The sequence below is a fragment of the Homo sapiens genome, chromosome 7 (genome assembly GCF_000001405.40).
Source record: "Homo sapiens chromosome 7, GRCh38.p14 Primary Assembly".
NCBI classification, from domain to species: Eukaryota; Metazoa; Chordata; class Mammalia; order Primates; family Hominidae; genus Homo; species Homo sapiens.
The window spans coordinates 101,031,354-101,059,079 of record NC_000007.14 but is presented as its reverse complement, the minus strand read 5'-3'; the positions used below and the strand labels follow the sequence as shown (position 1 = coordinate 101,059,079).

At 47.6% G+C, this 27,726-nt stretch overlaps 1 protein-coding gene and 1 pseudogene across 2 annotated transcripts in view; both read right to left on the bottom strand.

Annotated features, from left to right (window-relative positions):
- MUC17 (mucin 17, cell surface associated) overlaps positions 221 to 27,726 on the bottom strand; it is a 38,779-nt gene continuing 11,273 nt past the window's right edge. The window contains exons 3-13 of one of the 2 annotated variants that reach the window (NM_001040105.2): positions 15,261 to 27,479; positions 10,965 to 11,096; positions 10,108 to 10,235; positions 9,698 to 9,756; positions 8,445 to 8,596; positions 7,399 to 7,467; positions 7,118 to 7,277; positions 5,933 to 6,094; positions 5,644 to 5,741; positions 2,810 to 2,886; positions 221 to 1,077 (exon numbers count right to left, since the gene is read on the bottom strand). In NM_001040105.2, the coding sequence (NP_001035194.1) occupies positions 1,036 to 1,077; positions 2,810 to 2,886; positions 5,644 to 5,741; positions 5,933 to 6,094; positions 7,118 to 7,277; positions 7,399 to 7,467; positions 8,445 to 8,596; positions 9,698 to 9,756; positions 10,108 to 10,235; positions 10,965 to 11,096; positions 15,261 to 27,479 (13,298 nt within the window). In that variant the 3' untranslated portion in view covers positions 221 to 1,035. The remainder of the gene's footprint in view (positions 1,078 to 2,809; positions 2,887 to 5,643; positions 5,742 to 5,932; positions 6,095 to 7,117; positions 7,278 to 7,398; positions 7,468 to 8,444; positions 8,597 to 9,697; positions 9,757 to 10,107; positions 10,236 to 10,964; positions 11,097 to 15,260; positions 27,480 to 27,726) is intronic. The other variant, NR_133665.2, reaches the window with a different exon arrangement.
- On the bottom strand, positions 513 to 781 carry RN7SKP54 (RN7SK pseudogene 54; annotated as a pseudogene).

Genomic DNA, 27,726 nt, shown 5'->3' with positions numbered 1-27,726 from the left:
TATGTGTGTGTGTGTCTGTCTGTCTGTCTGCCTTGCCTCTTGGACACCAGCAAATGGTGTCAGTGGAGTTCAAGGAATGGTCCTCTTTCCACTGCAAATCTCTCTCTTGTTGTCTTGAACCCCAAAAGCATCCGATTTTATGTTCTGGAGGAGAGAGAGAGAGTCTGGGAGGTTAGAAACAGGAGCTATGGGAAACAGGAGGAAAGATCTGGGAACCATGAAAATTGTAATAAAATTGCTTTATTATTTTTAGTTACTACAAATATATATTATAATATTTACTAAGGAAAAAATCAGAACTCATAACAATAAGAACTTAAAAAATACCCACAATCTTATATACCAAAAGGTAAATGCTCTATATTTAAATACAGGTGTTTTTCATGAAGATGGTATGCAATAATTCTTATGAGAGCATTTTGTGATATGTAAAGTGCATGCAGTCCAGTGTCCAAGGGGTCATGGTTGTAAACAGCGGGTCGAGGGCGCTGTCCATGGTACTGAACCCGGGCAGATGAGGGGAGGAACATCTCTGAGCTTGTTTGGAAGTGCTAGCAGGGAAGTCCAGATAGATACTTGTATGCCTTTGACTGAAGCGTGGTCCTCCTCTATCAGAGAAGGTCGTCCTCTCGTCCTCTTCAACTGAGCATGCAGCTTTAGGAGGGACACATATGGGGCAGTGAGGGAGGACGGGGACACCCGCCTGCTCAGCCAGATCAACCAAATCAATCCTGGCGATCAATGGGGTGAAAGATGTTGCAGTCAGAGTACCCTCAAATCTGGAGCGTCTTTGAAAAATGAGCAGGAAAGCCTAGCCTGATATCATGACAAGCCCATTGGAGCGTCCACGGGTTTCTATTTGAGAATCTCCCAGCACTGCTGTCTCTCCTCTTTCTCCTTGGTAAGTACAGGGCTTGTTTCCTGTACTTACAATGGGAACATTGAGTTCCCATGGAAGGCTCTCAATGGGAAAATGCTCCACCAAGCTTAGCCGGACTGGGATCTCCTCACTCCCAGACTTCTCAGCTCCATGCCTTAAAATGATGTCGTCATTACCTGAGGCCTCTGAATTCGGATCTGAAAAGAGAGATAAAACCAAGTGAGGGCTCAGCCCATGAGGAATTTGGGATTCTGGAAGCATAAGGAGGATTGGGATAGGAAGTGTTCTGTTTAATTATTTTTATTTTTTATTATTTTTTTGAGACAGGGTCTTACTCTGCCATCCAGGCTGGAGTGCAGTGGCACAATCACGGCTCACCATGGCCTGTAACTTCTGGCCTCAAGCAATCCTCCCACCTCAGCCTCCCAAGTAGCTAGGACTACATGTGCACACAACCACACCTGAATAATTTTTAAATTTTTTGTAGAGATGAGGTTTCACTATGTTGCCCAGGGTGATCTCAAACTCCTGGGCTCAAGCAATCCATCCACTTCGACCTCCCCAAGTGCCGGGATTACAGGTGTGAGCCACTGTACCTGGCTATGATTATTATTTCTTTTATAGCAACAGAGTCTCACTTTGTTGCCCAGGCTGGTCCTAAACTCCTGACTTCAGACAATCTTCCTGCCTTGGCCTCACGAAGTTCTGGGATTGCAGGCATGAGCCACCGCACCTGGCCTAAGTGGTTGGTTTAGAACTTGTCCCATTACCTGGATTCTAGCACAAACCAATTGTGCCTTCCCCTCCCCGCCAGGTAGGTTTACAGTTATCCTTGCTGGAGATTTCATCCTTGCCCAAAGGGCTATGTCAAGGGAGCATAGCACCTGAAGACGTTCACACTTGTTATTTCTCCTACCCTCAAATATCCATCTAGTTTAAATCATATTAAAGCAGTGATCAAGGAGTGGTCACTTTTTGCCCAAGTGACCAATCTCGGCCTTAATCATGAGGGGAAAACCTGATGTTATATACTTGTTGAAGTGAGGCGATAGCATTATCTATGATATAACAAAAATGTTTAATCTGATTCCAGTTAAGCCTCTAGAACCAACCTCCAGTATTTCCAATCCTAGAATACCTCTAATACCTCTGATACTAAGGATGGGTGGGCAAGTTAGATGACACCATGAAACAAACCAGGAGTGTGAGACATTTTTCAAGACAACCATCCTAGACTCTTAAAAAAAGCAATATGTTAAAAAATGTAGGAGCCCATTCTAGATTAAAAGACCAAAGAGACATAACGGAAGTCAGTGAGTGAAATCTGTTATATCTACATCTGAGAAAAAAAAATAGTAATAAAAGATGTCCTTGGGCTAATTGGAAACATTGGGTACCAGACGATATTGTGAAGTTATGATCAATGTATTGGATATAATCGTGGTATTGGGAAGTGTGTGCTGAAATGGTTAGAGATCAAGTGTCATAATGTTGGCAGCTGACTTCCAAATTATTCAGCAAAAATTAGTGAATAGATCAATACAAAGAAAGAAACATATGGCATGTTAAGCCTTGTTGAGCTAGATGGAATATGTAAGTATTTACTGCACTGCTATTTTGACTTTTATGTGTGTTTACAAGTTAAAATAACTAAGTAAGTTGGCCATCAAGGATGTACTTAGAGTAGGGAAGGAAACCTCCGAACCTGAAGCCTCAGGGGTCAAAGGAAAGTGATTCCACCTTGCTACTTAGCTTTTATTCTTCCCCTGAGTTAGGCTTGTTTCCTGGCAGTATGGACCTGGGAGGATCACCTGGACCAATAAACTGTAAACATGGTTCTGTTTTTCTGAAGGTCCTACCATGTAGGAAAGGAGAAGAAGAAAGTCGCAGGGTTGGGGGAGGCCAGCATCCCATCCAGGCCCTTCTTACCTTTGTTTCAGGGTCTATGTGTCTCAAGGAGGGCTGGAAATTACTATAGATGGACTCCAGGTGGATGGAATCATCATCTTGTGGAGGGATGGAAAGCACCATGGAAACAGGAGGTTAGAAGGACAAACTTTCATCTCTCCCTTTAATCCCATCTGATGGAGGATGAGACAGTTTTTCTCTACCCCTAGGAAACTGCAAACCCTTGAAAATGTGACAAACTGTCAACATTACCTGACTCAGCAGCTCCCTAATACAGGCATATTAAGGCTATGAATTTTCTGAGTATAGCTGTAGCTGCATCCCACAAGTCTTGACACTAATTTCTCACTTTCACTATAATCTCTTATCTGATCCATACATTATTTAGACACTTGAAAAAAATTTCCAAAGATACGGGATTTTTGTTTTTGTTTTCCAAAACTATTTTTGTTATTGATTTCTAACATACTTGCATTATGGTCAGATAATATCGTCTGATTTAAATAATTTTTGTAAGTTTTTTGAGGCTTTTTTAATGGCCTGTGTATGGCCATCCTTAAAAGTTTTCTTGTGGACTCAGGTAATAAATGTGTACCCTCTATTTGTTGAATGTGGTGTTCTGTATTGTATTAAGGCTAATTATTTTGTACAAAAGTTCTGTAATCCTCACTGACTTTTGTCAATTACTAAGAGAGGCGTTTTAAAAATCTCTTACCATGTTGGTGAATTTGTTAATTTTTTTCTTGCAGCTTTGTCAGTTTTTGCTTTATCTATTTCGAGATTGTACTAACAGAGCATACAAATTAAACTTGTGTCTAACAGAGTAAGCCATTTCCTAATATTGATCATTTTTATACCTAGTAATTCTTTTTGCTTTAAAGTTTATGTGCCTGCAATGAGTACAGCTATACACAAAACAACAGACACTTTGTTTAGTATTACCCTGTTTTGTCTTTTCTACACTTTTGTTTCTAACCTTTGTGTTTCTATTTAACATGTACCTCCCACCGACAGTGGATACCTAGATTTTTTTTTAAAAAAATCCTTTTTAAACTAGAGTTTAATCTACTTATGTGTATTATGATTTGTGATATATTTGCATTACGTCCTATCATTTTATTTTCTATTTTCTATGTGTCCTATCTCCTCTTCCTCTTCCCCTTCCTCCTCCTCCTCCTCCTCCTTCTACGGAATCTTGCTCTGTTGCCCAGGCTGGAGTGTAGTGGTGCGATTTCAGCTCACTGCAGCCTCCACTTCCCAGGTTCCAGCGATTCTCCTGCCTCAGCCTCCCAGGTGGTTGGGATTACAGGCACATGCCACCATGTCCAGCTAATTTTTGTGTTTTTAGTAGAGACGGGGTTTCACCGTGTTGGCCAGGTTGGTCTCCTGACCTCAGGTGACCCACTAGCCTCAGCCTCCCAAAGTGCTAGGATTACAGGCATGAGCCACATTTTTTTTGTTTGTTTTGTTTTAGAGACAGGGTCTTGCTCTGTTGCCCAGGTTGGAGTGCAGTGGTGCAATCATAGCTCACGCAGCCTTGACCTCCTGGGCTCAAGTGATCCTCCTGACTCAGCCTCCTGAATAGCTAGGATTACAGGCATGCACCACTGTGCCTGGCTAATTTTTTTAATTTTTTGAACTCGTTATGTTGCCCAGGCTGGTCTTGAACTCCTGGCCTCAAGAGATCCTCCAGCCTCGGCCTCCCAAAGCATTGGGACTGTAAGCATGAGCCACTGCGTCTCACCTCCTTTTTCTTTTTCTCCCTTTCCTGCCTCTTTGTGGGTTGACTGGACTTTTCCTCATTCTAATCTTCCCCTTTTTAGAATTTAAAGACTATTTTGAGAAATTTCTCATTCCACATATTTCCTTCTTTAGAATTTAAAGACTCTATTTTTAGAAATTTTAACATGTGCCTTTAACCTAGCAAAATCTAATGTTAGTCTCTTTACTGAGGTACAACTCCCCTGCTAATGAGCTCACCCACTCCCGAGCACTAATCTGTGCACTAGAGAAATCTACCACCCTCAAGGAACCTGTGTCTCCCCAGTGGTTCAGTTCACTATGCCCCATCCAGGGTCTCACAGGAGTCAGTAATGGAAATAAGGTTTTAGCTGTGGAGCCAAACATTTTGGAGTGGGAAATATTTTCCCCCTTCACTCTATAAGCCTCAGGGTCTTCCCAGGTGCCTCCTATGTACTCTTTTTTTTTTTTTTTTTTTTTTTTTTTTTTTTTTTGACAGGGTCTTGTTCTGTTGCCCAGGCTGGAGTGCAGTGGTACAATCACAGCTCACTGCAGCCTCCATCTCCCAGGCTCAAGCAATTCTCCTGCCTCAGCCTCATGAGTAGTTGGGACTTCAGGTGCATGCCACCATGCCCAGATAATTTAAAATTTTTTTTCTTTTTTTTTTTTTTGAGACGGAGTTTCGTGCTTGTTGCCCAGGCTGGAGTGCAATGGCACAATCTCGGCTAACTGCAACCTCTGCCTCCCGGGTTCAAGTGATTCTCCTGCCTCAGCCTCCCGAGTAGCTGGGATTACAGGCACCTGCCACCATGCCCAGCTAATTTTTTTGTATTTTCAGTAGAGACAGGGTTTCACTATGTGGTCCAGGCTGGTCTCAAACTCCTGACCTCAAGTGGTCCACCTGCCTCAGCCTCCCTTTTTTATTTTTATTTTTTATTTTTTTTTAAGAGATAGAGTTTTGCTGTGTTGTTGCCCAGGCTGATCTTGAGCTCCTGGCCTCAAGTAATACTCCTGCCTTGGCCTTTCAAAGTGCTGGGATTACAGATGTGAGCCCACCGCACCCAGCCTGTTTCCACATTTTGAGCCATTCTGAGTTCAGAGAGGAAGGCCAATACCTTGGCAGATGTCAAAGCCAATGTTTTGGAAGGTCCCAGGAGCTGGTCCACTGTCCTCTTCTTGCCACTTGTATAACTGAGACAATCTGTACTTTTGCCTAGTGATGGAAACATCAGAGAGACCCCATTAGGATTGGGGAACAGGAATAAGGACCAGGGACAAGCTGTATCCCCATTTTTAGCTGCCCCCGCTGCCCACCTAGACTATGAAGTGATTAGAGACAGAGGGTTCAGAGGAAGAGGAGGAGCTGGAGGGAGTTGGAAGAGGAGGTGGTAGGGGCTCGCTCACCGTTTCACCTCTCTCTTGGAGCGGAAAACGAGCATCAGGAGAGCTACCAGGATGATCAGCATCAGCACGACCCCTGCCCCCACGAGGCCGTACACCAGACTCTTCTGGGTGCCCTGGTTACAGGTCTCCCCACTGTACCAGTGAGTTTCCGTGGTCACGCAGCTGAGATGGGAGAGAAGCGGCAGGTTGGGGAGAGAGAACGGAGTCAGCACCAGCTTCAGACCTGGGCCCTGCCCAGTGGGTGTTTAATGAAGAGGAGGCAAGAAGAGATTGCCAGGGGGCATAAAGCAAGGCACCCCGAGGGGATGAACAGAGATGAAGACCAGCATCCCTGGAGGTGGTCCTCAAATGAGCCCAATTCCCACTCCAAGCTTTTAGATTTTGCCTCCAGTTGCAACCCAGGACCTAGGACGGTTGGCCCAACCCTGGGTCTTCCCTGGGCTGCACCCCCAGGGACTCCAGGACCCCACAGTGATCTTGCATCCACCCATTAACCTCCTCACTTCCAGCCTTCCTCTCTGTCAAGAAAGCCAGGCTGCAGCCCTGATCCAGAGCTCCCACTACACCCCTGAAGCTCTTCTTCCCTGCTGCCTTGAGATGCCCTCTCTAAGCCCTGTTCCTTTCTTCCCCTTTCCAGCTTGTGACCCCCTCTTCCAGGAAGCCTTCCCAAATTAACTACTCAGGTCTTTGCCCACATGTGGCTTCTTCCCGCACCTGATGCTCCAGCTGTTCTCTCTCTTTGGTTCTGTTTAAAGTGACAATGTTTTTCTTCGCTTTCTTACCTCTGTGACTGGGCTAGAGGGCTTCTCCCCACTCCCCATATGGGTGTGTAACCTTCTGTTTCTATTTCACCAGCAGAGGATCTTGTTCTCTCTCTGGAGAGAGAGCAAGGCTCTGTCTCTGTTCCCTCAGTCGGACAACCTTCCCAGGAGGTTGTCACCTTCCTCAGCCCTCCTTAGCACAGAGAGGACATGGTTAGGCTGTTCTGGACACAGCCTTGGAGCTCAACTACTCATGTTTTTCCCTTATCCCCAACCCAATTCCTCTGCAGCTGGACACATTCAGGAGACGCTGGGACCTAGTCCCATGACCTTGGTCTCCAGGCAATGCCTGGGGTGAAGCCCTGCAGGGGAGGGGAGGACCAGGACGTCTGGGCTGGGCTGGAGGAGATGGGGGAGCACTCACAGGCACTGAGGTCCACTTAGAGACATCTGGCACTTGCCGAGGTTACAGTTCTTGGAGACACTGAAGCCAGGCTCACAGGGGCTGATGCAGTATGGCTTCTGGTCCCGGTACTCCACTACGAAGTAGTCTCCATATTCCTTGGCCATCTTCCGGCAGTCCTCTGGTGGGGGGTGCAGGGACAGGGAACAGCCGTGATCAGAGGGCTGGGGGGACACTGTCCCACTCCTCCTGGGCTCCCCACCTCTCCAGCCTTCCCCCAAACCCCTTGTGTTATCACCTACCTTCAGGGTCGTACTGGGTCACCGTAATGTTTTGCACTTGGGTGCCAGTGGTGTTGAAACACATCATGTCTGTGAAAGAGACACATAAAACCCCTCACGACACATACACGCTTGTTCTGCGTCCTCAGGGAGCTGAGACGTGTGTGTGTGAGAAGGGGGTGGGCTGCGATGGGGAGGTGGGAATCCGGCCCCGGCAGAGGGGCAGCATCAGCCTCGCGTCCAGTGACCCTCCAAGTGTCCTGAGCCTTTTTGTCCTATGCCTCCCTTTTCTCTCTTATTTTCTTTCTTACTCTTTTTTTTTTTTTTTTTTTTTTTTTGAGATGGAGTATTGCTCTGTCACCCAGGCTAGAGTACAGTGGTGCAATCTCGGCTCACTGCAACCTCTGCTTCCCGGTTTCAAGCGATTCTCCTGCCTCAGCCTCCCAAGTAGCTAGAACTACAGGCATCTGCCACCATGCCTGGCTAATTTTGTATTTTCAGTAGAGATGGGGTTTCACCACGTTGACCAGGCTGGTTTCGAACTCCTGGCCTCAAGTGATCTGCCCGTCTCAGCCTCCCAAAGTGCTGGGATTACAGGCGTGAGCCACCATGCCTGCCCAATGCCTCCTTCTTCCCTCTTCTGCCATGATCCACACACTTAGATGAACCCCTGTGTAACGAGGCCCATGGGTCCTCATTTCCAGCAGACTCCCCTGTCCTATAGCCGTTAGTCCTGGCACCCTGCAAGATCTGGTCTGCTTGTATGTCTGGCCTTGCAGGTTCCGGGACGAATTCCTGGATCTCCATGTTCTCCTACTCTCTCCATTTGCCTTTGTCCCTTCCCTTACCCCAGGGAAAAAAATGGGCCAGAGGATGATGAAGGTTAAAGACTCTCTCGGCCCAATCCTGGGGCTTCTTTGCGCTGCAACCCCAGGGACTCTAGGACCCCACAGTGATTCTTGCACCCACCCATTAACCATCCTCACTCCCGCCCTCCTGTCTATTAAGAAAGTCATGCCCCAGCTCTGATGCCTTCTCCCTTCCCTCCCTGGAAGCCCAGAGTTCACCTGAGCAAATATCATTAATCATTATTTGCTGTGTGGTCACTTTTGTGATTTTCTCTTTCACTACTTCGGTGGCATTGTCCAATACTGTCTTGTATTCTGGTGTGTACTTGGTTCTTAGGAGGACGTCATGCTCCACCACCACACTGCCAAGACTGAAGAGGGAAGGGAAGACGTCCTGGGGTCAGAATAGGGTGCTTACCTCTAGAATCTGTACCAGGCAAGCTTCACCCTCTCTGATCCCAAGGGAAGGCAGAGCTGGGGGCAGGACAGTTGGGGTGATGACTCTGTCCTAGGCATTTGGGGCAGGACAGTTTGGGGTGATGGCTCTGTCCTACACACTGCGCTGGGCCCCCTGCTATAGGAGTTCTCCCAGCAGCCTGTGCCTAAGAGAACTTTCCACAAAGGGAGTCTCTGGTAGGTCTTAGGGAAGCCTCAGCGATGAAGATGGATGGAGGAATGGGAACCACAGAAGAGGCCATCCTTGAGGTTTTTGGGTTTTTTGTTTTAGAGACAGAGTCTCACTGCTGCCCAGGCTGGAGAGCAATGGTGCGATCCTGGCTTACTCTAGCCTCTGACTCCTGGGCTCACGTGATCCTCCTGCCTCGGATTCCTGAGTAGCTAGGTCTACAGGTGTATACCACCATACCCTGCTAATTTTTGTATTTTTTGTAGAGACAAGGTCTTGCTATGTTGCTCAGGCTGGTCTTGTGCTCCCGGCCTCAAATAATCCTTCCACCTCGGCCTCCCAAAGTGCTGGGATTACAGGTGTGAGCTACTGCACCTGGTGCCTCCTACATTTATATATTGAAGCCCTAACCTCCAGAACCTCAGAATGTGACTATATTTGGAGATAGGGTCTTTAAAGAGGTGAGTAAATTAAAATGAGGTCATTAGTGTAGGCCCTCATCCAGTCTGACTGGTGTCCTTATAAGAAGGGGAAATTTGGATATGCAGAGACAGCAGGGAGATGTGCACAGAGGAAAGACCATGCAAAGACACAGCAAGAAGGCAGCCACCCACAAGCCAAGGAGAGAGGCCTCCAGAGAAACCACACCCACCCACACCTTCATCTTAGACCTCCAGCCCCTAGAACTGGGAGAAATAGATTTCTGTTGTTTAAGCCGCCCCATCGGTGGTATTCTGCAATAGCTGCCTGGGCACAGTAATGCAGGGGGCACAGTTCTAATTGCCTTTATAACTATGACCACTGCTTCCACGCCACAGACCCTCTTCCCAAGGGCCCAGACACTTACCGTAGCTTTGTGATGTTCACCCCGACATACTCAGGGATCCCGGAATACACAATATTCATCTGAAAGGCAAGGGGCCACTGTGTCATCCCAGAGGGACCACGGGGCCGTTCTGTGGGACATCAGGAGGTCACAGGACCAGGGGATGATCCTGTCCCGCAGCATCATAGCACACTCATCAAATGGAGTGGTTTCTTTCCAGAGACCTGCTCCACCCCAGGGGCCTCCTGCAGCCCCCAGGTAAAACCTGGCCTCATCTCTTCCCTCCTGCACTGGCAAGCCCTGAGGACGTGGGGGCCTGAGAGAACTCCCGCACATCTAACAAGGGAACAGCCCCCAGCTACCTTCTTACCCTACAGACTCTGCTCTGGGGGGAACTGAGTAGCTATGGGGCCTTGCTCTCCCAGACTTACCTGTTCCGTGAATGTCTGTTTGAACTCCTGGAATTCCTGGGAAGAGTGGTTTTTTAGCTCTTCGGTGAACTTCACACTGGTCACTGTCACAGTCAGTTCCATTTGGGCAGAGATAGTCTCCGGTGGCCCTGAGGCGGGTAGACTTACTGAGCAAAGCATCTCTGAGTTTCCTACTCAGAAGATCTGCCCCCAGCCTGGGTGGAGGGAGTGAGCTCCATTGTATTTTATGGTAAAATTTTGTGCCAAATTTGTATCCAAAATACACCTTCTTGTTTTATTTCCTTTTCTTTCCTTTTTATTCATTTTCTTTTCTTTCTTTATCTCTTTCCCTCTTTCTTTCTTTCTTTTTTCCTTCCTTCCTTCCTTCTTTCTTTTTTTTGACAGGGTATTGTTCTGTTGCTCAGGCTGGAGTGCAGTGGTGAGATCATAGCTCAGTGCAGTCTTGACCTCCTGGGCTCAAGCAATCCTCCCACATCAGCCTCCCAAGCAGCTAAGACTACAAGTATGCACCACCACACCCAGTCAAGTTTTTTTTTTTTTTAAATAAATAAATTAGATCTCAGTATGTTGCCCAGGCTGGTCTCGAGCTCCTGGCCTCAAGTGATCCTGCCTCAGGCTCCCAAAGTACTGGAATTACAGGCGAGAGCCACCGTGCCTGGCCTATTTTATTCATTTTGTAATGCTTTAGCATTCATAGCACTGGGTGGAAACAAAACAAAACAAAACAAAACAAAAAACACCACAGCCCAGAAGAGGCCCTATTCCTGGCCTCACATCAAGGTGGGGCAGGAACTGTTGCTTGTATGGAGGTCGGGTCCCAGGGCATGGGGTGGGGGAAGGCCTGGGGTTGCACTCACCTATGTCAATGCTGCTGACCACCTCCTCACACAACTCCCCATAATAGAGGTTGGGACACTGGCACTTGAGCCCATCCCAGGTGCCTCCATTCTTGCAGCGAGAGGCCGTATTCTGGCACCCATCTCCAAAGCCTGTGGAACAATCACAGAAGTTTTCTTTCCAAGTTCCTCCATTGAGGCACCTCACTGGAAGGAGCAGGGATCTACTGTGGTTACATGTTGAGCACAGCACTTTACAGCTTACAATGCGTTTGCACGGACACTGTCTAATTTGTTTGTTTTTTGAGTCCGAGTTTTACCCTTGTCACCCAGGCTGGAGTGCAATGGCGCGATCTTGGCTCACTGCAACCTCCACCTCCCAGGTTCAAGTGATTCTCCTGCCTCAGCCTCCTGAGTAGCTGAGATTACAGGCGCGTGCCACCACACCCAGCTAAGTTTTTGTATTTTTAGTAGAGACGGGGTTTCACCAGTTTGGCCAGGCTGGTCTCAAACTCCTGACCTCAGGTGATCTGCCCACCTCAGCCTCCCAAAGTGCTGGGATTACAAGTGTGAGCCACTGCGCCCGGCTCCGACACTGCCTAATATGATACTCTCATGAGACCCCAGGGGTGCACAGGACAGTTACTATTATCCTCACTTCACAGATACGCAAAGTGAGTCAGAGAGAGGCTAAGCCACGTCCCGATGGGTCCGAGTGCAGGCTACACTCCACCCAGTCCTAGTCCAGCATGCTTGACTTTACCCCAAAAACGTGAAGAAAGAGAAACCTGGTATTGTGAGAGGTGAGCGACACAGTCAGGGCTGAGGAAGGGAGAACCCGGGTGAACTTGAACAGTCTAGATTCCACCCAGGTTGAGAATTAGATGGTCGTTGTTCCTCAACACCCGCTTTGGAAAAGCCCATACTGGCAATCGTTACTGTTATGACTCATTCTGATTCTTTTTTAATTTACTGGGATGTGGAGTTTGAGGGAGGAGTTTAGATCTTATTTTATTTATTTATTTATTTATTTATTTATTTTAATTTTTTTTTTTTGAGACGGAGTCTTGCTCTGTCGCCCGGGCTGGAGTGCAGTGGCGTGATCTCGGCTCACTGCAAGCTCTGCCTCCCAGGTTCACGCCATTCTCCTACCTCAGCCTCCCAAGTAGCTGGGACTACAGGCATGCCTGCCACCACGCCCAGCTAATTTTTTGTATTTTTAATAGAGACGATGTTTCACCGTGTTAGCCAGGATGGTCTTGATCTCCTGACCTTGTGATCCACCCACCTCAGCCTCCCAAAGTGCTGGGATTACAGGTGTGAGCCACTGTGCCGGGCATTTTATTATTATTATTTTTTGAGACAGAGTCTCACCATCTCGTTCAGGTTGGAGCGCAGTGGTGCAATCATAGCTCACTACAGCCTTGACCTCCTGGGCTTAAGCAATCCTCCCACCCTAGCCTCCCAAGTAACTGGGACTGCAGGCATGAATCACCATGCCTGGCTAATTTTTAAAATTTTTCTGTAGAGATGGGGTATTGCTCTGTTGCTCAGGCTGGTCTCAAACTCCTGGCCTTAACAAATTCTCCAGTCTCAGCCTCACAAAATCCTGGGATTACAGGTATGAGCCATCATGCCCAGCCTAACAACTCCTTTTTAAATTGCAATTCAACAAATAAACTCCTCTTAGTTTAAATAGGTAGGAAGTAGTGATAGCCAACTCTAGAATATCTGTGCCAATCAACCTGGAAAATCTAAAGCTCTGTTTTCTTTGGCTTTTCTTGAAACTCGCTGTGCCTGGGCAGATCAGTATTCAAGGTGTATTTTGTCTGGGGAAGTGCACGAGGTATGTATAGACTCTGCAAAGACCTGCCTCACCTCTGCCTTCCGGTTTACCCTAAACAGACTCAGAGAGCAGGATCCACACTTGTGAAAATCACAGCATGCAGCCTCTATTTATGGGCTTTTGCTCCAAGACATTTGGAAAGAATAGAAGAGAGAAGTCAAGAGTCCTGGGCACACTGGAAACCCATACATCCTAAATCAGTCTCCTCCCTCTATCTCTCTCCCGCTTTCACTACTGAAGACGTCCAGACCTGAGCTAAGTGCCAAAACACAGGCTAGTCAGAAACAACAGAAGCAGATGCTGGGGCGCGTTCACCCATTGCTCAACAGTCTAAGGGAAGGCCAATCTCTGGGGAAGAAGAGGAAGACAGAAGGAGGACAATCTGCTTCAAAGATGTGACCGACACCAGATGGTGGGTCCAGTGGCATTGCAGCCACCTGGCCTTTGTCGTGAGACACCTACGAGGCTTCCTGGAAATACAAGGTCCAGGTCTCCCACCTGAAAATTCTCAGACCACTCATCTGAGAATCAGAGAGCTCAAGAAGACAAAGATATATTGGAGACAATCCAGAGAAAAAAGCCATATGATAGAAAATCCAGCCAGGCATGGTGGCTAACACCTGTAATCCTAACACTTTGGGAAGCTGAGGCGGGTGGATCACCTGAGGACAGGAGTTCAAGAACAGCCTGGCCAACATGGTGAAACCCTGTCTCTACTAAAAATACAAAAATTAGCTGGATGTGGTGGTGTGCTCTGTAATCCCAGCTACTTGGGAGGTTGAGGTGAGAGAATCACTTGAACCCGGGAGGTGGAGGTTGCAGTGAGCCATGATCGTGCCATTGCACTCCAGCTTGGGCAACAAGAGTGAAACTCCATCAAAAAAAAAAAGAAAAAGAAAAGAAAAGAAAAGAAAAAAGTTCAGGCAAAGTAGAATTCAGCAAAGGAAAAAAATCACAAAGTCCAGAGAAAATGTAGTAGTCAAAAGCTGAAGAACCACCCTTCATCATCATCAATTCAAGATGGGATTGGGCAGTTCTGTGGGCAGACACAGATCATATACCTGTGAGCCTATTCATCTAAATAAATCAGTGTTTTCAAGTATTTTAATTAGCATACTTTTAAAAATGTATGCAAAATATTCTTAATCTGGGAGTCATACTCACAGGTCTATTAGTATATTACATGATTCATATAATAAAATATACAGGATATTATAATAGCAGGTATTGAATGGTGCAACGCTCACCCTAACAAGAGAGAAGAAGGCTGAGTGAAAGTTCTTGAGTCAGAGAAAGGAAGGGGATACATAAGGACAGCAAAACACTCATAGGCATTGGAGGTAGAATTCAGAGCTGACAGAAGTGAAGGAATCTTCTTTTGCTTCTATAGTGGGTGCTCAGAGGATAAGATGAATCAAAATAAAAGTGAATGGTGGCAGAGATACTTGACAAAGGTACACATGAATGAATAGGCAAAAACCTTCTGCAAAAAAAAAGTTCGTACTTTAGTATGAACAAAATCAATGAGAAAATCCACTAGAAAGTTTACAAAGTAAACTAAAAAGTTTAAAAGAAAACAAACCACTCAGAGTTAATAACATCATGGCATACAAAGTGCAATGGAATAGAGACCTGCAGAATACAAAAGAGAGAAAACAGGACTTCTGGACAGAATACTGGAGACTGAGGTGCCCAGGCAAAGAGAGGTAATGCTTTGTTCAAAAAAGGGGAACTTGTGCAAGAAACAGTGAGAGCAGAGAAGTGAGAGAGTGCTGAGACAGAAAACCTTGATGCAGGTTTTATCAAAGGGAAAACAAGTAAGTCAGAGCAAAAGGAGTTTAGGAGTAAATGTTTAAGAAGAAAACCACAAAAAGTAGTGAGTGGAGATTGAAAAGAAAGGTCAGTTTCAAAAAGGAAAATTCTTTTGAAAAGTGTCTGTTCTTATCCTTTGCCCACTTTTTGATGGGGTTGTTTGATTTTTTTCTCGTAAATGTGTTTAAGTTCTTTGTAGATTCTGGATATTAGCTCTTTGTCAGATGGGTAGATTGCAAAAATTTCCTCCCATTCTGTAGGTTGCCTGTTCACTCCATGGAATACTATGCAGCCATTAAAAAAGGACGAGTTCACATCCTTTGTAGGGACATGGATGAAGCTGGAAACCATCATTCTGAGCAAACTATCACAAGGACAGAAAACCAAACACCAAATGTTCTCACTCATAGGTGGGAACTGAACAATGAGAACACTTGGACACAGGGCAGGGAACATCACACACCGGGGCCTGCCATGGGGTAGGGGGATGGGGGAGGGATAGCATTACGAGAAATACCTAATGTAAATGATGAGTTAATGGGTGCAGCAAACCAACATGGCACACGTATACATAGGTAACAAACCTGCACGTTGTGCACATGTACCCTAGAACTTACAGTATAATTTTAAAAAAAAGGAAAATTCAAGAAATCACTTACATGTTGTGGTTCTTGGCACAGTAGGAGTTGAGGTGGGGTTGCTCTTAATTGTAGTATTCGTGGGGACAGCGGTGGTGGTCACCGTGGGGAAGGAAGTGGTCCGTGTGCTGGGTTTTGTCCTGGTGGTCATGGTGGTGACAGCCTCAGGGTTCACAGTCGTGGAGGAGGCAGAGGTTGTTGGAGGTGTACTGGAGTGAGCAGGAGGAAATGTAGGTGGGATGGTGTGAGAAGTAATTGTTGACGGCCTGCTGGATTCTGATGAAGGGGTCACAGGACGGGTGGTGACAGAAGTAGAGGTGTGAGGTGTACTGGTTGCAGAAAGCGTTGATGCAGAAGTAGTGCAGCCTCTGCTGGTTGTTCTGGGTGTGCTGGGGGCAGTAGACATGGTCACATATGTGAGGGGAGCTGCAGTAGTCATTGCGGGTGTTGTAAATTCCTTAGTAGTTGAAAAAGATGTGGTGGTACTACTACTGGAGGTTGATGGTGTGTTTAGTTCAGTGGAAGTTATCACAGGGGTAGATACAGCACCAGTTGTTGCAGGAAAGACATCAGCAGTAGAACTGGTGACAGGAGTGCTGGGAATAAAAATGGTTGTCCCAGGTGTGCTTCCTTCTGTGATCACTGATACAGATATGGTGGTGGCTACAGGAATTGTGGGAGTTGAGGCAGTGTCAGTAGAAGGGGTAAAAGTTGTGCTTGTGTCAAGAGGAGGTGTCGAAGCTATGCTGGCCCCAGGAAAGCTAGTTGGAAGTGTGGTGCTGACAAGGAGAGTTGTTAATGGAGTGCTTCTTTCACTGGTAATTGAAATACGTATGGTAGTGACTTCAGCAGGTATGGAGAATGAACCGGCTTTGGTAGAGGTGAGCAAAGGTGTGCTGGTATCACCAGGAGGTGTTGAAAGTGTGCTGGCCTCAGAAGGACTCATCACAGATATAGGGCTGATGAGGACAGTTGTCAATAAAGTGCTTCTTTCACTCGTAGTTGACATAGGCATGGTGGTGGTGCCTTCAAGAGTTGTAGGAGATGAACTGCCTTCAGAGGCAGTGGTCATAGACATGCTGGTGTAAACAGATGGTATGGAAGGGGTGCTACTCTCAGGAAACCTCGTAACAGGTGTGGTACTGACAAGAATAGTGGTCCCAAGGGTGCTTATTTCCATGGGCATTGACACAGACATGGTGGTGCTGTCAAGAGTTGCAGAAGATGAAATGGCTTCAGTAGAAGTGGTCACAGGTGTGCTGGTGACAACAGAAGGTGTTGAAAGGGTGCTACCCTCAGAGCTGGTCACACGTGTGGTGCTGACAGGCATAGTTGTTAATGGAGTGCTTCCTTCACTAGGCGTCCAGATTGGCATGGTGGTACCTTCAGGAGTCACAGGAGATGAACTGACTTGGGTAGAAGTGATCACAGGTGTGCTGGTGTCAACAGGAAGTGTTGAAGCTGTGCCAGCCTCAGAAATGGTCACCGATGTGGTGCTGACAGGCATAATGGTTAATGGAGTGCTTACTTCACTAGGAGTTGACATTGGCAGGGTGATAACTTCAGGAGGTGTAGGAGTAGAATTGCTCTGAGTAGAAGTGGTCACAGGTGTGCTTCTGTCAACAGAAGGAGTGGAAGGTGTGCTAGCCTCAGAACTGGTCACATATGTGCTGCTGAGGAGCATAGTTGTTAATGAAGAGCTTCCTTCACTTGGAGTAGACATACGCATAGTGGTGACCTGAAGAGTTGCTGGAGATGAACTGGCTTGACTAGAACTGGTAACAAAAGTGTTGGAGTCAACAGGAGTTGTTGAAAGGGTGCTAGCCTCAGAACTGGCCACCGGTGTGGTGCTGACAGGCATATTTGTTAATGGAGTGCTTCCTTCACCAGCAGTTGATGTTGGCATGCTGGTAACTTCAGCAGTTGTAGGAGATGAATTGGTTGGAGAAGAAGTGGTCACAGGTGTGCTGGTGTCAACAGGAGTTGTTGAAAGGGTGCTAGCCTCAGAACTGGCCACCGGCGTGGTACTGAGAGGCATAATTGATAATGGAGTGCTTCCTTCACTAGTAGTTGAGGTTGGCAAGCTGGTACCTTCAGCGATTGTAGGAGATGAACTGGCTTCAGTAGAAGTGGTCACCAGAGTGTTGGAGTCCACAGGAGTTGTTGAAAGGGTGTTAACCTCAGAACTGACCACCGGCGTGGTGCTGACAGGCATACTTGCTAATGGAGTGGTTCCTTCACTAGGACTTGAGGTTGGTATGCTGGTACCTTCAGCAGTTGTAGGAGATAAACTGGCTTCAGTAGAAGTGGTGACAGGTGTGCTGGTGTCAACAGGAGTTGTGGAAAGGGTGCTAGCCTCAGAACTGACCACTGGCGTGGTGCTGAAAGACATATTTGTTAGTGGAGTGCTTCCTTCACTATAAGTTGAGGTTGGCATGCTAGTACCGTCAGCAATTGGAGGAGATGAACTGGCTTGAGAATAAGTGGTCACAGGTGTGCTGGTGTCAGCAGGAGTTGTTGAAAGGGTGCTCGTTTCAGAACTGGCCACCGTTGTGGTGCTGACAGGCATACTTGTTAATGGAGTGCTTCCTTCACTAGGAGTTGAGGTTGGCATGCTGGTACCTTCAGCAGTGGGAGGAGATGAACTGGCTTCAGTAGAAGTGGTCAAAGGAGTGTTGGAGTCAACAGGAGTTGTTGAAAGGATGCTAGCCTCAGAACTGGCCACCGGCGTGTTGCTGACAGGTACACTAGTTAATGGAGTCATTCCTTCACTAGGAGTTGAGGTTGGAATGCTGGTACCTTCAGCAGTTGTAGATGAAGTGGCTTCAGTAGAAGTGGTCACAGGTGTGCTGGTGTCAACAGGAGTTGCTGAAAGGGTGCTATCCTCAGAACTGACTACCAGCATGGTGCTGACAGGCATATATGTTAATGGAGTACTTCCTTCACTAGGAGTTGAGGTTGGCATGCTGGTACCTTCAGAAGTTGTAGGAGATGAATGGGCTTCAGTAGAAGTGGTCACAGGTGTGCTGGTGTCAACAGGAGTTGTTGAAAGGGTGCTGATTGCAGAACTGGTCACCGGTGTGGTGCTGACAGGCACACCTGTTAATGGAGTGCTTCCTTCACTATAAGTTGAGATTGGCATGCTGGTACCTTCAGCAGGTGTAGGAGATGAACTGACTTCAGTAGAAGTGACCACAGGACTGTTGGAGTCAACAGGAGTTGTTGAAAGGGTGCTAGCCTCAGGAATGGCCACTGGCGTGGTGCTGACAGGTATACTTGTTAATGGAGTACTTCCTTCACTAGGAGTTGAGATTGGTATGCCGGTACCTTCAGCAGTTGTAGGAGAGGAACTGGCTTCAGTAGAAGTGGTCACAGGTGTGCTGGTGTCAGCAGGAGTTCTTGAAAGGGTGCTAGCCTCAGAACTGGCCACCGGCATGGTGCTGACAGACATACTTGTTAATGGAGTTCTTCTTTCGCCAGGAGTTGAGATTGGCATGCTGGTACCTTCAGCAGTTGTAGGAGAAGAACTAGCTTCAGCAGAAGTGGTGACAGGTGTCCTGGTGTCAACAGGAGTTGTTGAAAGGGTGCTAGCCTCAGAACCGGCCACTGGCACGGTGCTGACAAGTATACTTGTTAATGGAGTACTTACTTCACTAGGAGTTGAGATTGGCATGCTGGTACCTTCAGCAGTTGTAGGAGAAGAACTGCCTTCAGTAGAAGTGGTGACAGGTATGCTGGTATCAACAGGAGTTGTTGAAAGGGTGCTAGCCTCAGAACTGGCCACCGGCGTGGTGCTGACAGGTATACTTGTTAATAGAGTACTTCCTTCACTAGCAGTTGAGATTGGCACGACGATACCTTCAGCAGTTGTAGGAGATGAACTGGCTTTAGTAGAAGTGGTCACAGGTGTGCTGGTGTCAACAGGAGTTGTTGAAAGGGTGCCAGCCTCAGAACTGGCCACTGGCGTGTGGTTGACAGGCATACTAGTTAATGGAGTACTTGTTTCACTAGGAGTTGAGGTTGGCATGCTGGTAACTTCAGCAGTTGTAGGAGAGGAACTGGCTTCAGTAGAAGTGGTGACAGGTATGCTGGTGTCAACAGCAGTTGTTGAAACGGTGCTAGCCTCAGAACTGGCCACTGGCAGGGTGCTGACAAGTATACTTGTTAATGGAGTACTTCCATCACTAGGAGTTGAGATTCGCATGCTGGTACCTTCAGCAGTTGTAGGAGAAGAACTGGCTTCAGCAGAAGTGGTGACAGGTGTGCTGGTGTCAACAGGAGTTGTTGAAAGGGTGCTAGCCTCAGAATTGGCCAACAGCGTGGTGCTGACAAGTATATTTGTTAATGGAGTGCTTCTTTCACCAGGAGTTGAGGTTGGCATGCTGCTACCTTCAGCAGTTGTAGGAGATGAACTGGTTCCAGTGGAAGTGGTCACAAGTGTCCTGGTGTCAACAGGAGTTGTTGAAAGGGTGCTAGCCTCAGAACTGGCCACTGGCATGGTGCTGACAAGTATACTTGTTAATGAAGTACTTACTTCACTAGGAGTTGAGATTGGCATGCTGGTATCTTTTGCAGTTGTAGGAGATGAACTGGTTTCAGTAGAAGTGGTGACAGGTATGCTGGTGTCAACAGGAGTTGTTGAAAGAGTGCTAGCCTCAGAACTGGCCAACGGCTTGGTGCTGACAGGCATACTTCTTAATGGAGTGCTTCCTTCACTATAAGTTGAGGTAGGCATGCTGGTACCTTCAGCGGATGTAGCAGATGAACTGATTTCAGTAGAAGTGACCACAGGACTGTTGGAGTCAACAGGAGTTGTTGAAAGGGTGCTAGCCTCAGGACTGGCCACTGGCGTGGTGCTGACAGGTATACTTGTTAATAGAGTACTTCCTTCACTAGCAGTTGAGATTGGCACGACGATATCTTCAGCAGTTGTAGGAGATGAACTGGCTTCAGTAGAAGTGGTCATAGGTGTGCTGGTGTCAACAGGAGTTGTGGAAAGGGTGCCAGCCTCAGAACTGACCACCGGCGTGGTGCTGACAGGCATACTTGCTAACGGAGTGGTTCCTTCACTAGGAGGTGAGGTTGGTATGCTGGTACCTTCAGCAGTTGTAGGAGATGAACTGGCTTCAGTAGAAGTGGTGACAGGTGTGCTGGTGTCAACAGGAGTTGTGGAATGGGTGCTAGCCTCAGAACTGACCACCGGCATGGTGCTGACAGGCACACTTGTTAGTGGAGTGCTTCCTTCACTATAAGTTGAGGTTGGCATGCTAGTATCGTCAGCAGTTGTAGGAGATGAACCGGCTTGAGAATAAGTAGTCACAGGTGTGCTGGTGTCAGCAGGAGTTGTAGAAAGTGTGCTTGTTTCAAAACTGGCCACCATTGTGGTGCTGACAGGCATACGTGTTAATGGAGTGTTTCCTTCACTAGAAGTTGAGGTTGGCATGCTGGTACCTTCAGCAGTGGGAGGAGGTGAACTGGCTTCAGTAGAAGTAGTGAAAGGAGTGTTGGAGTCAACAGGAGTTGTTGAAAGGGTGCTAACCTCAGAATTGGCCACCAGCGTGTGGCTGACAGGTATACTTGTTAATGGAGTCGTTCCTTCACTAAGAGTTGAAGTTGGTATGCTGGTACCTTCAGCAGTTGTAGGAGATGAAGTGGCTTCAGTAGAAGTGGTCACAGGTGTGCTGGTGTCAACAGGAGTTGCTGAAAGGGTGCTAGCCTCAGAAGTAACTACCGGCATGGTGCTGACAGGCATACTTGTGAATGGAGTGCTTCCTTCACTAGGAGTTGAGGTTGGCATGCTGGTACCTTCAGAAGTTGTAGGAGATGAACGGGCTTCAGTAGAATTGGTCACAGGTGTGCTGGTGTCAACAGGAGTTGTTGAAAGGGTGCTGATTGCAGAACTGGCCACCACTGTGGTGCTGACAGGCATACTTGTTAAAGGAGTTCTTCTGTCACTATAAGTTGAGGTTTGCATGCTGGTACCTTCAGTAGGTATAGGAGATGAACTGACTTCAGTAGAAGTGATCACAGGACTGTTGGAGTCAACAGGAGTTGTTGAAAGGGTGCTAGCCTCAGGACTGGCCACCGGCGTGGTGCTGAGAGGTATACTTGTTAGTAGAGGACTTCCTTCACTAGGAGCTGAGATTGTCATGCTGCTACCTTCAGCGGTTGCAGATGAACTGGCTTCAGTAGAATTGGTCACCTGAGTTTTGGAGTCAACAGGAGTTGTTGAAAGGGTGTTACCCTCAGAACTGACCACAAGCGTAGTGCTGACAGGCATACCTGCTAATGGAGTGGTCCGTTCACTAGGAGTTGAGGTTTGTATGCTGGTACCTCCTGCAGTTGTAGGAGATGAACTGCCTTCAGTAGAAGTGGTGGCAGGAGTGCTGGTGTCAACAGGAGTTGTGGAAAGAGTGCTAGCCTCAGAACTGACCACCAGCGTGGTGCTGAGAGGCATACTTGTTAGTGGAGTGCTTCCTTCACTATAAGCTGGGGTTGGCATGCTGGTACCATCAGCAGTTGTAGGAGATGAACTGGCTTGAGAATAAGTGGTCACAGGTGTCCTGGTGTCAGCAAGAGTTGTTGAAAGGGTGTTGATTTCAGAACTGGCCACTGTTGTGGTGCTGACAGGTATACTTGTTAATGGAGGCCTTCCTTCCCTAGGAGTTGAGGTTGGCATGCTGCTACCGTCAGCAGTTGTAGGAGATGAACTGACTTGAGCATAAGTGGTCACAGGTGTGCTGGTGACAGCGGGAGTTGTTGAAAGGGTGTTGGTTTCAGAACTGGCCACTGTTGTGGTGCTGACAGGTATACTTGTTAATGCAGTGCTTCCTTCACTAGGCGTTGAGGTTGCTATGCTGGTACCTTCAGCAGGTGTAGGAGATGAACTGACTGCTGTAGAAGTGACCACAGGACTGTTAGAGTCAACAGGAGTTGTTGAAAGGGTGCTAGCCTCAGAATTGGCCACCAGCGTGTGGCTGACAGGTGTGCTTGTTAATGGAGTCATTCCTTCACTAAGAGTCGAGGTTGGTATGCTGGTACCTTCAGCAGTTGTAGGAGACGAAGTGGCTTCAGTAGAAGTGGTCACAGGGGTGCTGGTGTCAATAGGAGTTGCTGAAAGGGTGCTAGCCTCAGAACTGAGTACCGGCGTGGTGCTGACAGGTATACTTGTTAATGGAGTGGTTCCTTCACTAGGAGTTGAGTTTGGCATGCTGGTACCTTCAGAAGTTGTAGGAGATGAACGGGCTTCAGTAGAAGTGGTCACAGGTGTGCTGTTGTCAACGGGAGTTGTTGAAAGGGTGCTGATTGCAGAGCTGGCCACCGGTGTTGTTCTGACAGTTATACTTGTTAAAGGAGTTCTTCCTTCAGTATAAGTTGAGGTTGGCATGCTGGTACCTTCAGCAGGTGTAGGAGATGAACTGACTTCAGTAGAAGTGATCACAGGACTGTTGGAGTCAACAGGAGTTGTTGAAAGGGTGCTAGCCTCAGGACTGGCCACCGGCGTGGTGCTGACAGGTATACTTGTTAATAGAGGACTTCCTTCACTAGGAGTTGAGATTGTCATGCTGCTACCTTCAGCGGTTGTAGATGAACTGGCTTCAGTAGAAGCGGTCACCTGAGTTTTGGAGTCAATAGGGGTTGTTGAAAGGGTGTTAGCCTCAGAACTGACCACCAGCATGGTGCTGACAGGCAAACTTGTTAGTGGAGTGCTTCCTTCACTATAAGTTGAGGTTTGCATGCTGGTACCGTCAGCAGTTGTAGGAGATGAACTGGCTTGAGAATAAGTGGTCACAGGTGTGCTGGTGACAGCAGGAGTTGTTGAAAGGCTGTTGATTTCAGAACTGGCCACTGTTGTGGTGCTGACAGGTATACTTGTTAATGCAGTGCTTCCTTCACTAGGCGTTGAGATTGCTATGCTGGTACCTTCAGCAGGTGTAGGAGATGAACTGACTGCTGTAGAAGTGACCACAGGACTGTTAGAGTCAACAGGAGTTGTTGAAAGGGTGCTAGCCTCAGAATTGGCCACCGGCGTGTTGCTGACAGGTATACTTTTTAATGGAGTCTTTCCTTCACTAGGAGTTGAGGTTGGTATGCTGATACCTTCAGCAGTTGTAGGAGATGAAGTGGCTTCAGCAGAAGTGGTCCCAGGGGTGCTGGTGTCAACAGGAGTTGCTGAAAGGGTGCTAGCCTCAGAACTGACTACCGGCGTGGTGCTGACAGGTATACTTGTTAACGGAGTGGTTCCTTCACTAGGATTTGAGTTTGGCATGCTGGTACCTTCAGAAGTTGTAGGAGATGAACAGGCTTCAGTAGAAGTGGTCACAGGTGTGCTGTTGTCAACAGGAGTTGTTGAAAGGATGCTGATTGCAGAACTGGCCACCAGTGTGGTGTTGACAGGTATACTTGTTAAAGGAGTTCTTCCTTCACTATAAGTTGAGGTTGGCATGCTGGTACCTTCAGCAGGTGTAGGAGATGAACTGACTTCATTAGAAGTGACCACAGGACCTTTAGTGTCAACAGGAGTTGTTAAAAGGGTGCTAGCCTCAGGACTGGTCACCAGCGTGGTGCTGACAGGTATACTTGTTAATAGAGTACTTCCTTCACTAGTAGTTGAGGTTGGCAAGCTGGTACCTTCAGCGGTTGTAGGAGAGGAACTGGTTTCAGCAGAAGTGGTCACAGGTGTGCTGGTGTCAACGGGAGATGTTGAAAGGGTGCTAGCCTCAGAACTGGCCACTGGCGTGTGTCTGACAGGCATACTTGTTAATGGAGTGCTTCTTTCTCCAGGAGTTGAGGTTGGCATGCTGGTAACTTCAGCAGTTGGAGGAGGTGAACTGGCTTCAGTAGAAGTGGCCACCTGAGTTTTGGAGTCCACAGGAGTTGTTGAAAGGGTGTTAGCCTCAGAACTGACCACCAGCGTGGTGCTGACAGGCATACTTGCTAACGGAGTGGTTCCTTCACTGGGAGGTGAGGTTGGTATGCTGGTACCTTCAGCAGTTGTAGGAGATGAACTGGCTTCAGTAGAAGTGGTGACAGGTATGCTGGTGTCGACAGGAGTTGTGGAAAGGGTGCTAGCCTCAGAACTGACCACCAGCCTGGTGCTGACAGGCACACTTGTTAGTGGAGTGCTTCCTTCACTATAAGTTGAGGTTGGCATGCTGGTACCGTCAGCAGTTGTAGAAGATGAACTGGCTTGAGAATAAGTGGTCACAGGTGTGCTGGTGTCAGCAGGAGTTGTTGAAAGTGTGCTCGTTTCAGAACTGGCCACCATTGTGGTGCTGACAGGCATACGTGTTAATGGAGTGCTTCCTTCACTAGGAGTTGAGGTTGGCATGCTGGTACCTTCAGCAGTGGGAGGAGGTGAACTGGCTTCAGTAGAAGTGGTCAAAGGAGTGTTGGAGTCAACAGGAGTTGTTGAAAGGGTGCTAGCCTCAGAATTGGCCACCAGCGTGTGGCTGACAGGTGTGCTTGTTAATGGAGTCGTTCCTTCACTAGGAGTCGAGGTTGGTATGCTGGTACCTTCAGCAGTTGTAGGAGATGAAGTGGCTTCAGTAGAAGTGGTCACAGGTGTGCTGGTGTCAACAGGAGTTGCTGAAAGTGTTCTAGCCTCAGAACTGACTACCGGCGTGGTGCTGTCAGGCATACTTGTTAATGGAGTGCTTCCTTCCCCAGGAGTTGAGGTTGGCATGCTGGTACCTTCAGAAGTTGTAGGAGACGAACGGGCTTCAGTAGAATTGGTCACAGGTGTGCTGGTGTCAACAGGAGTTGTTGAAAGGGTGCTGATTGCAGAAGTGGCCACCAGTGTGGTGCTGACAGGCATACTTGTTAAAGGAGTTCTTCCTTCACTATAAGTTGAGGTTGGCATGCTGGTACCTTCAGCAGGTGTAGGAGATGAACTGACTTCAGTAGAAGTGGTCACAGGACTGTTGGAGTCAACAGGAGTTGTTGAAAGGGTGCTAGCCTCAGGACTGGTCACCGGTGTGATGCTGACAGGTATACTTGTTAATAAAGGACTTCCTTCACTAGGAGTTGAGATTGGCATGCTGGTACCTTCAGTGGTTGTAGGAGAGCAACTGGCTTCAGTAGAAGTGGTGATATGTGTGCTTGTGTCAAGAGGAGTTGTTGAAAGGGTGCTAGCCTCAGAACTGGTCAACAGCGTTTTGCTGACAGGCATACTTGTTAATGGAGTGCTTCCTTCACTAGGAGTTGAGGTTGGCATACTGGCACCATCAGCAGTTGTAGGAGAGGAACTGGCTTCAGTTGAAGTGGTCACAGGTGTGCTGGTGTCAACAGGAGTTGTTGAAAGGGTGCTAGCCTCAGAACTGGCCACCAGTGTGGTGTTGACAGGCATACTTGTTAATGGAGTGCTTCCTTCAGTATAAGTTGAGGTTGGCATGCTGGTACCTTCCGCAGTTGTAGAAGATGAAGTGGCTTCAGTTGAAGTGGTCACAGGAGTGTTGGAGTCAACAGGAGTTGTTGAAAGGGTGCTAGCCTCAGAACTGGCCACCAGTGTGGTGCTGACAGACATACTTGTTATTGTAGTGCCTCTTTCACTGTAAGTTGAGGTTGGCATGCTGGTACCTTCAGCAGTTGTAGAAGATGAACTAGCTTCACTAGAAGTGGTCACAAAAGTGTTGGAGTCAGCAGGAGTTGTTGAAGTGGTGCTAGCCTCAGAACTGACCACCAGCCTGGTGCTGACAGGCATGTTTGTTAATGGAGTGCTTCCTTCACTAGGAGTTGAGGTTGGTATGCTGGTACCTTCAGGAGTTGTAGAAGATGAACTGGCTTCACTAGAAGTGGTCACAGGTGTGCTGGTGTCAACAGGAGTTGTTGAAAGGGTGCTAGCCTCAGAACTGGCCACCGGCATGGTGCTGACAGACATACTTGTTAATGGAGTGCTTCCTTCACTAGGAGTTGAGGTTGGCATGCTGTTAACTTCAGCAGTTGGAGGAGATGAACTGGCTTCAGTAGAAGTGGTCACCTGAGTTTTGGAGTCAACAGGAGTTGTTGAAAGGTTGCTAGCCTCAGAACTGGCCACTGGAGTGGTGCTGACAGGCATACTTGTTAATGGAGTGCTTCCTTCACTAGGAGTTGAGGTTGCAATGCTGGTATCTTCAGCAGTTGTGGGAGATGAGCTGGCTTCACTAGCAGTGGTCACAAAAGTTTTGGAGTCAACAGGAATTGTTGAAGTGGTGCTAGCCTCAGAACTGGCCACCAATATGGTGCTGACAGGCATATTTGTTAATGGAGTGCTTCCTTCACTAAGAGTTGAGGTTAGCATGCTGGTAGCTTCAGCAGTTGTAGGAAGTGAACTGGGTTCAGTAGAAGTGGTCACAAGTGTGCTGGTGTCAACAGGAGTTATTGAAAGTGTGCTCATTTCAGAAGTGGCAACCGGCATGGTGCTGGCAGGCGTACTTGTTAATGGAGTGCTTCCTTCAGTATAAGTTGAGGTTGGTATGCTGGTGCCTTCAGCCGTTGTAGGAGATGAACTGGCTTCAGTAGAAGTGATCACAGGAATGTTGGTGGCAGCAGGAGTTGTTGAAAGGGTGCTAGCCTCAGAACTGACCACCAGCATCACGCTGAGAGGCATTCTTGTTAATGGAGTGCTTCCTCCACTAGGAGCTGAGTTTGACAGGCTGGGACCTTCAGCAGTTGTAGGAGATGAACTGGCTTGAGCAGAAATGGTCACAGGTGTGCTGATTTCAACAGGAGTTGTCAAAAGGGTGATAGCCTCTGAACTGGCCACCTTCATGGTGCTGGCAGGCATACTTGTTAATGGAGTGCTTCCTTCACTGTTAGTTGATTTGGGTATGGTGGTGCTTTCAGGAGTAGTAGGAGATGAACTTGCCTGAGTAGAAGTGGTCAGAGGTGTGCTCATATCAACCTTATATGTTAAAGATGTGTAGGCCTCAAAACTGGGAAGAGGTGCAGTGCTGACAAAAGCCATTGTTGATGAAATGCTTTCTTCACTTGGTGTTGACATGGGCACGTCGGTGCCTTCAGGAGTTGTAGGAGATGAAGTGTCTTCAGTAGAACTGGGGAAAAGTGTGGTGCTGTCACTGGTAGATTCTGAAGTTGTTCTGGATTCTGTTGGTGTCATCCTGGTACTGGAGACACCAGGAGTGTCTGAAGTCACACTGGACTCAATCGAGGTCATCTCAGGGTTGGTGCTGCAACTCAAATACATTCTTGGCTCCACGACATTTGTAGATGTTGTACCTGTGGCGGTGTTTGCCGCAGAACCTGTTTAAGATACAATGATATTTTGTTTAGAAGTTTCTTAGGGTTCTGTATGTCAGGAGTGATTGTTGTAGTTGGGCTTTTTACTGAAAATGTGTTCAGATAAGGGATGTCATCCGTTTTCAGGAAGAAGTGGAATTAGTTTCTCCAGTGTGTTAGTCTCTCCTGCCTTCCCTTCTATGCAGTTAGGAATTGAACTCGACCCCTTTCCTCCACAGTCCCTGCCTGGGTGATTCCACATCTGCCTTGT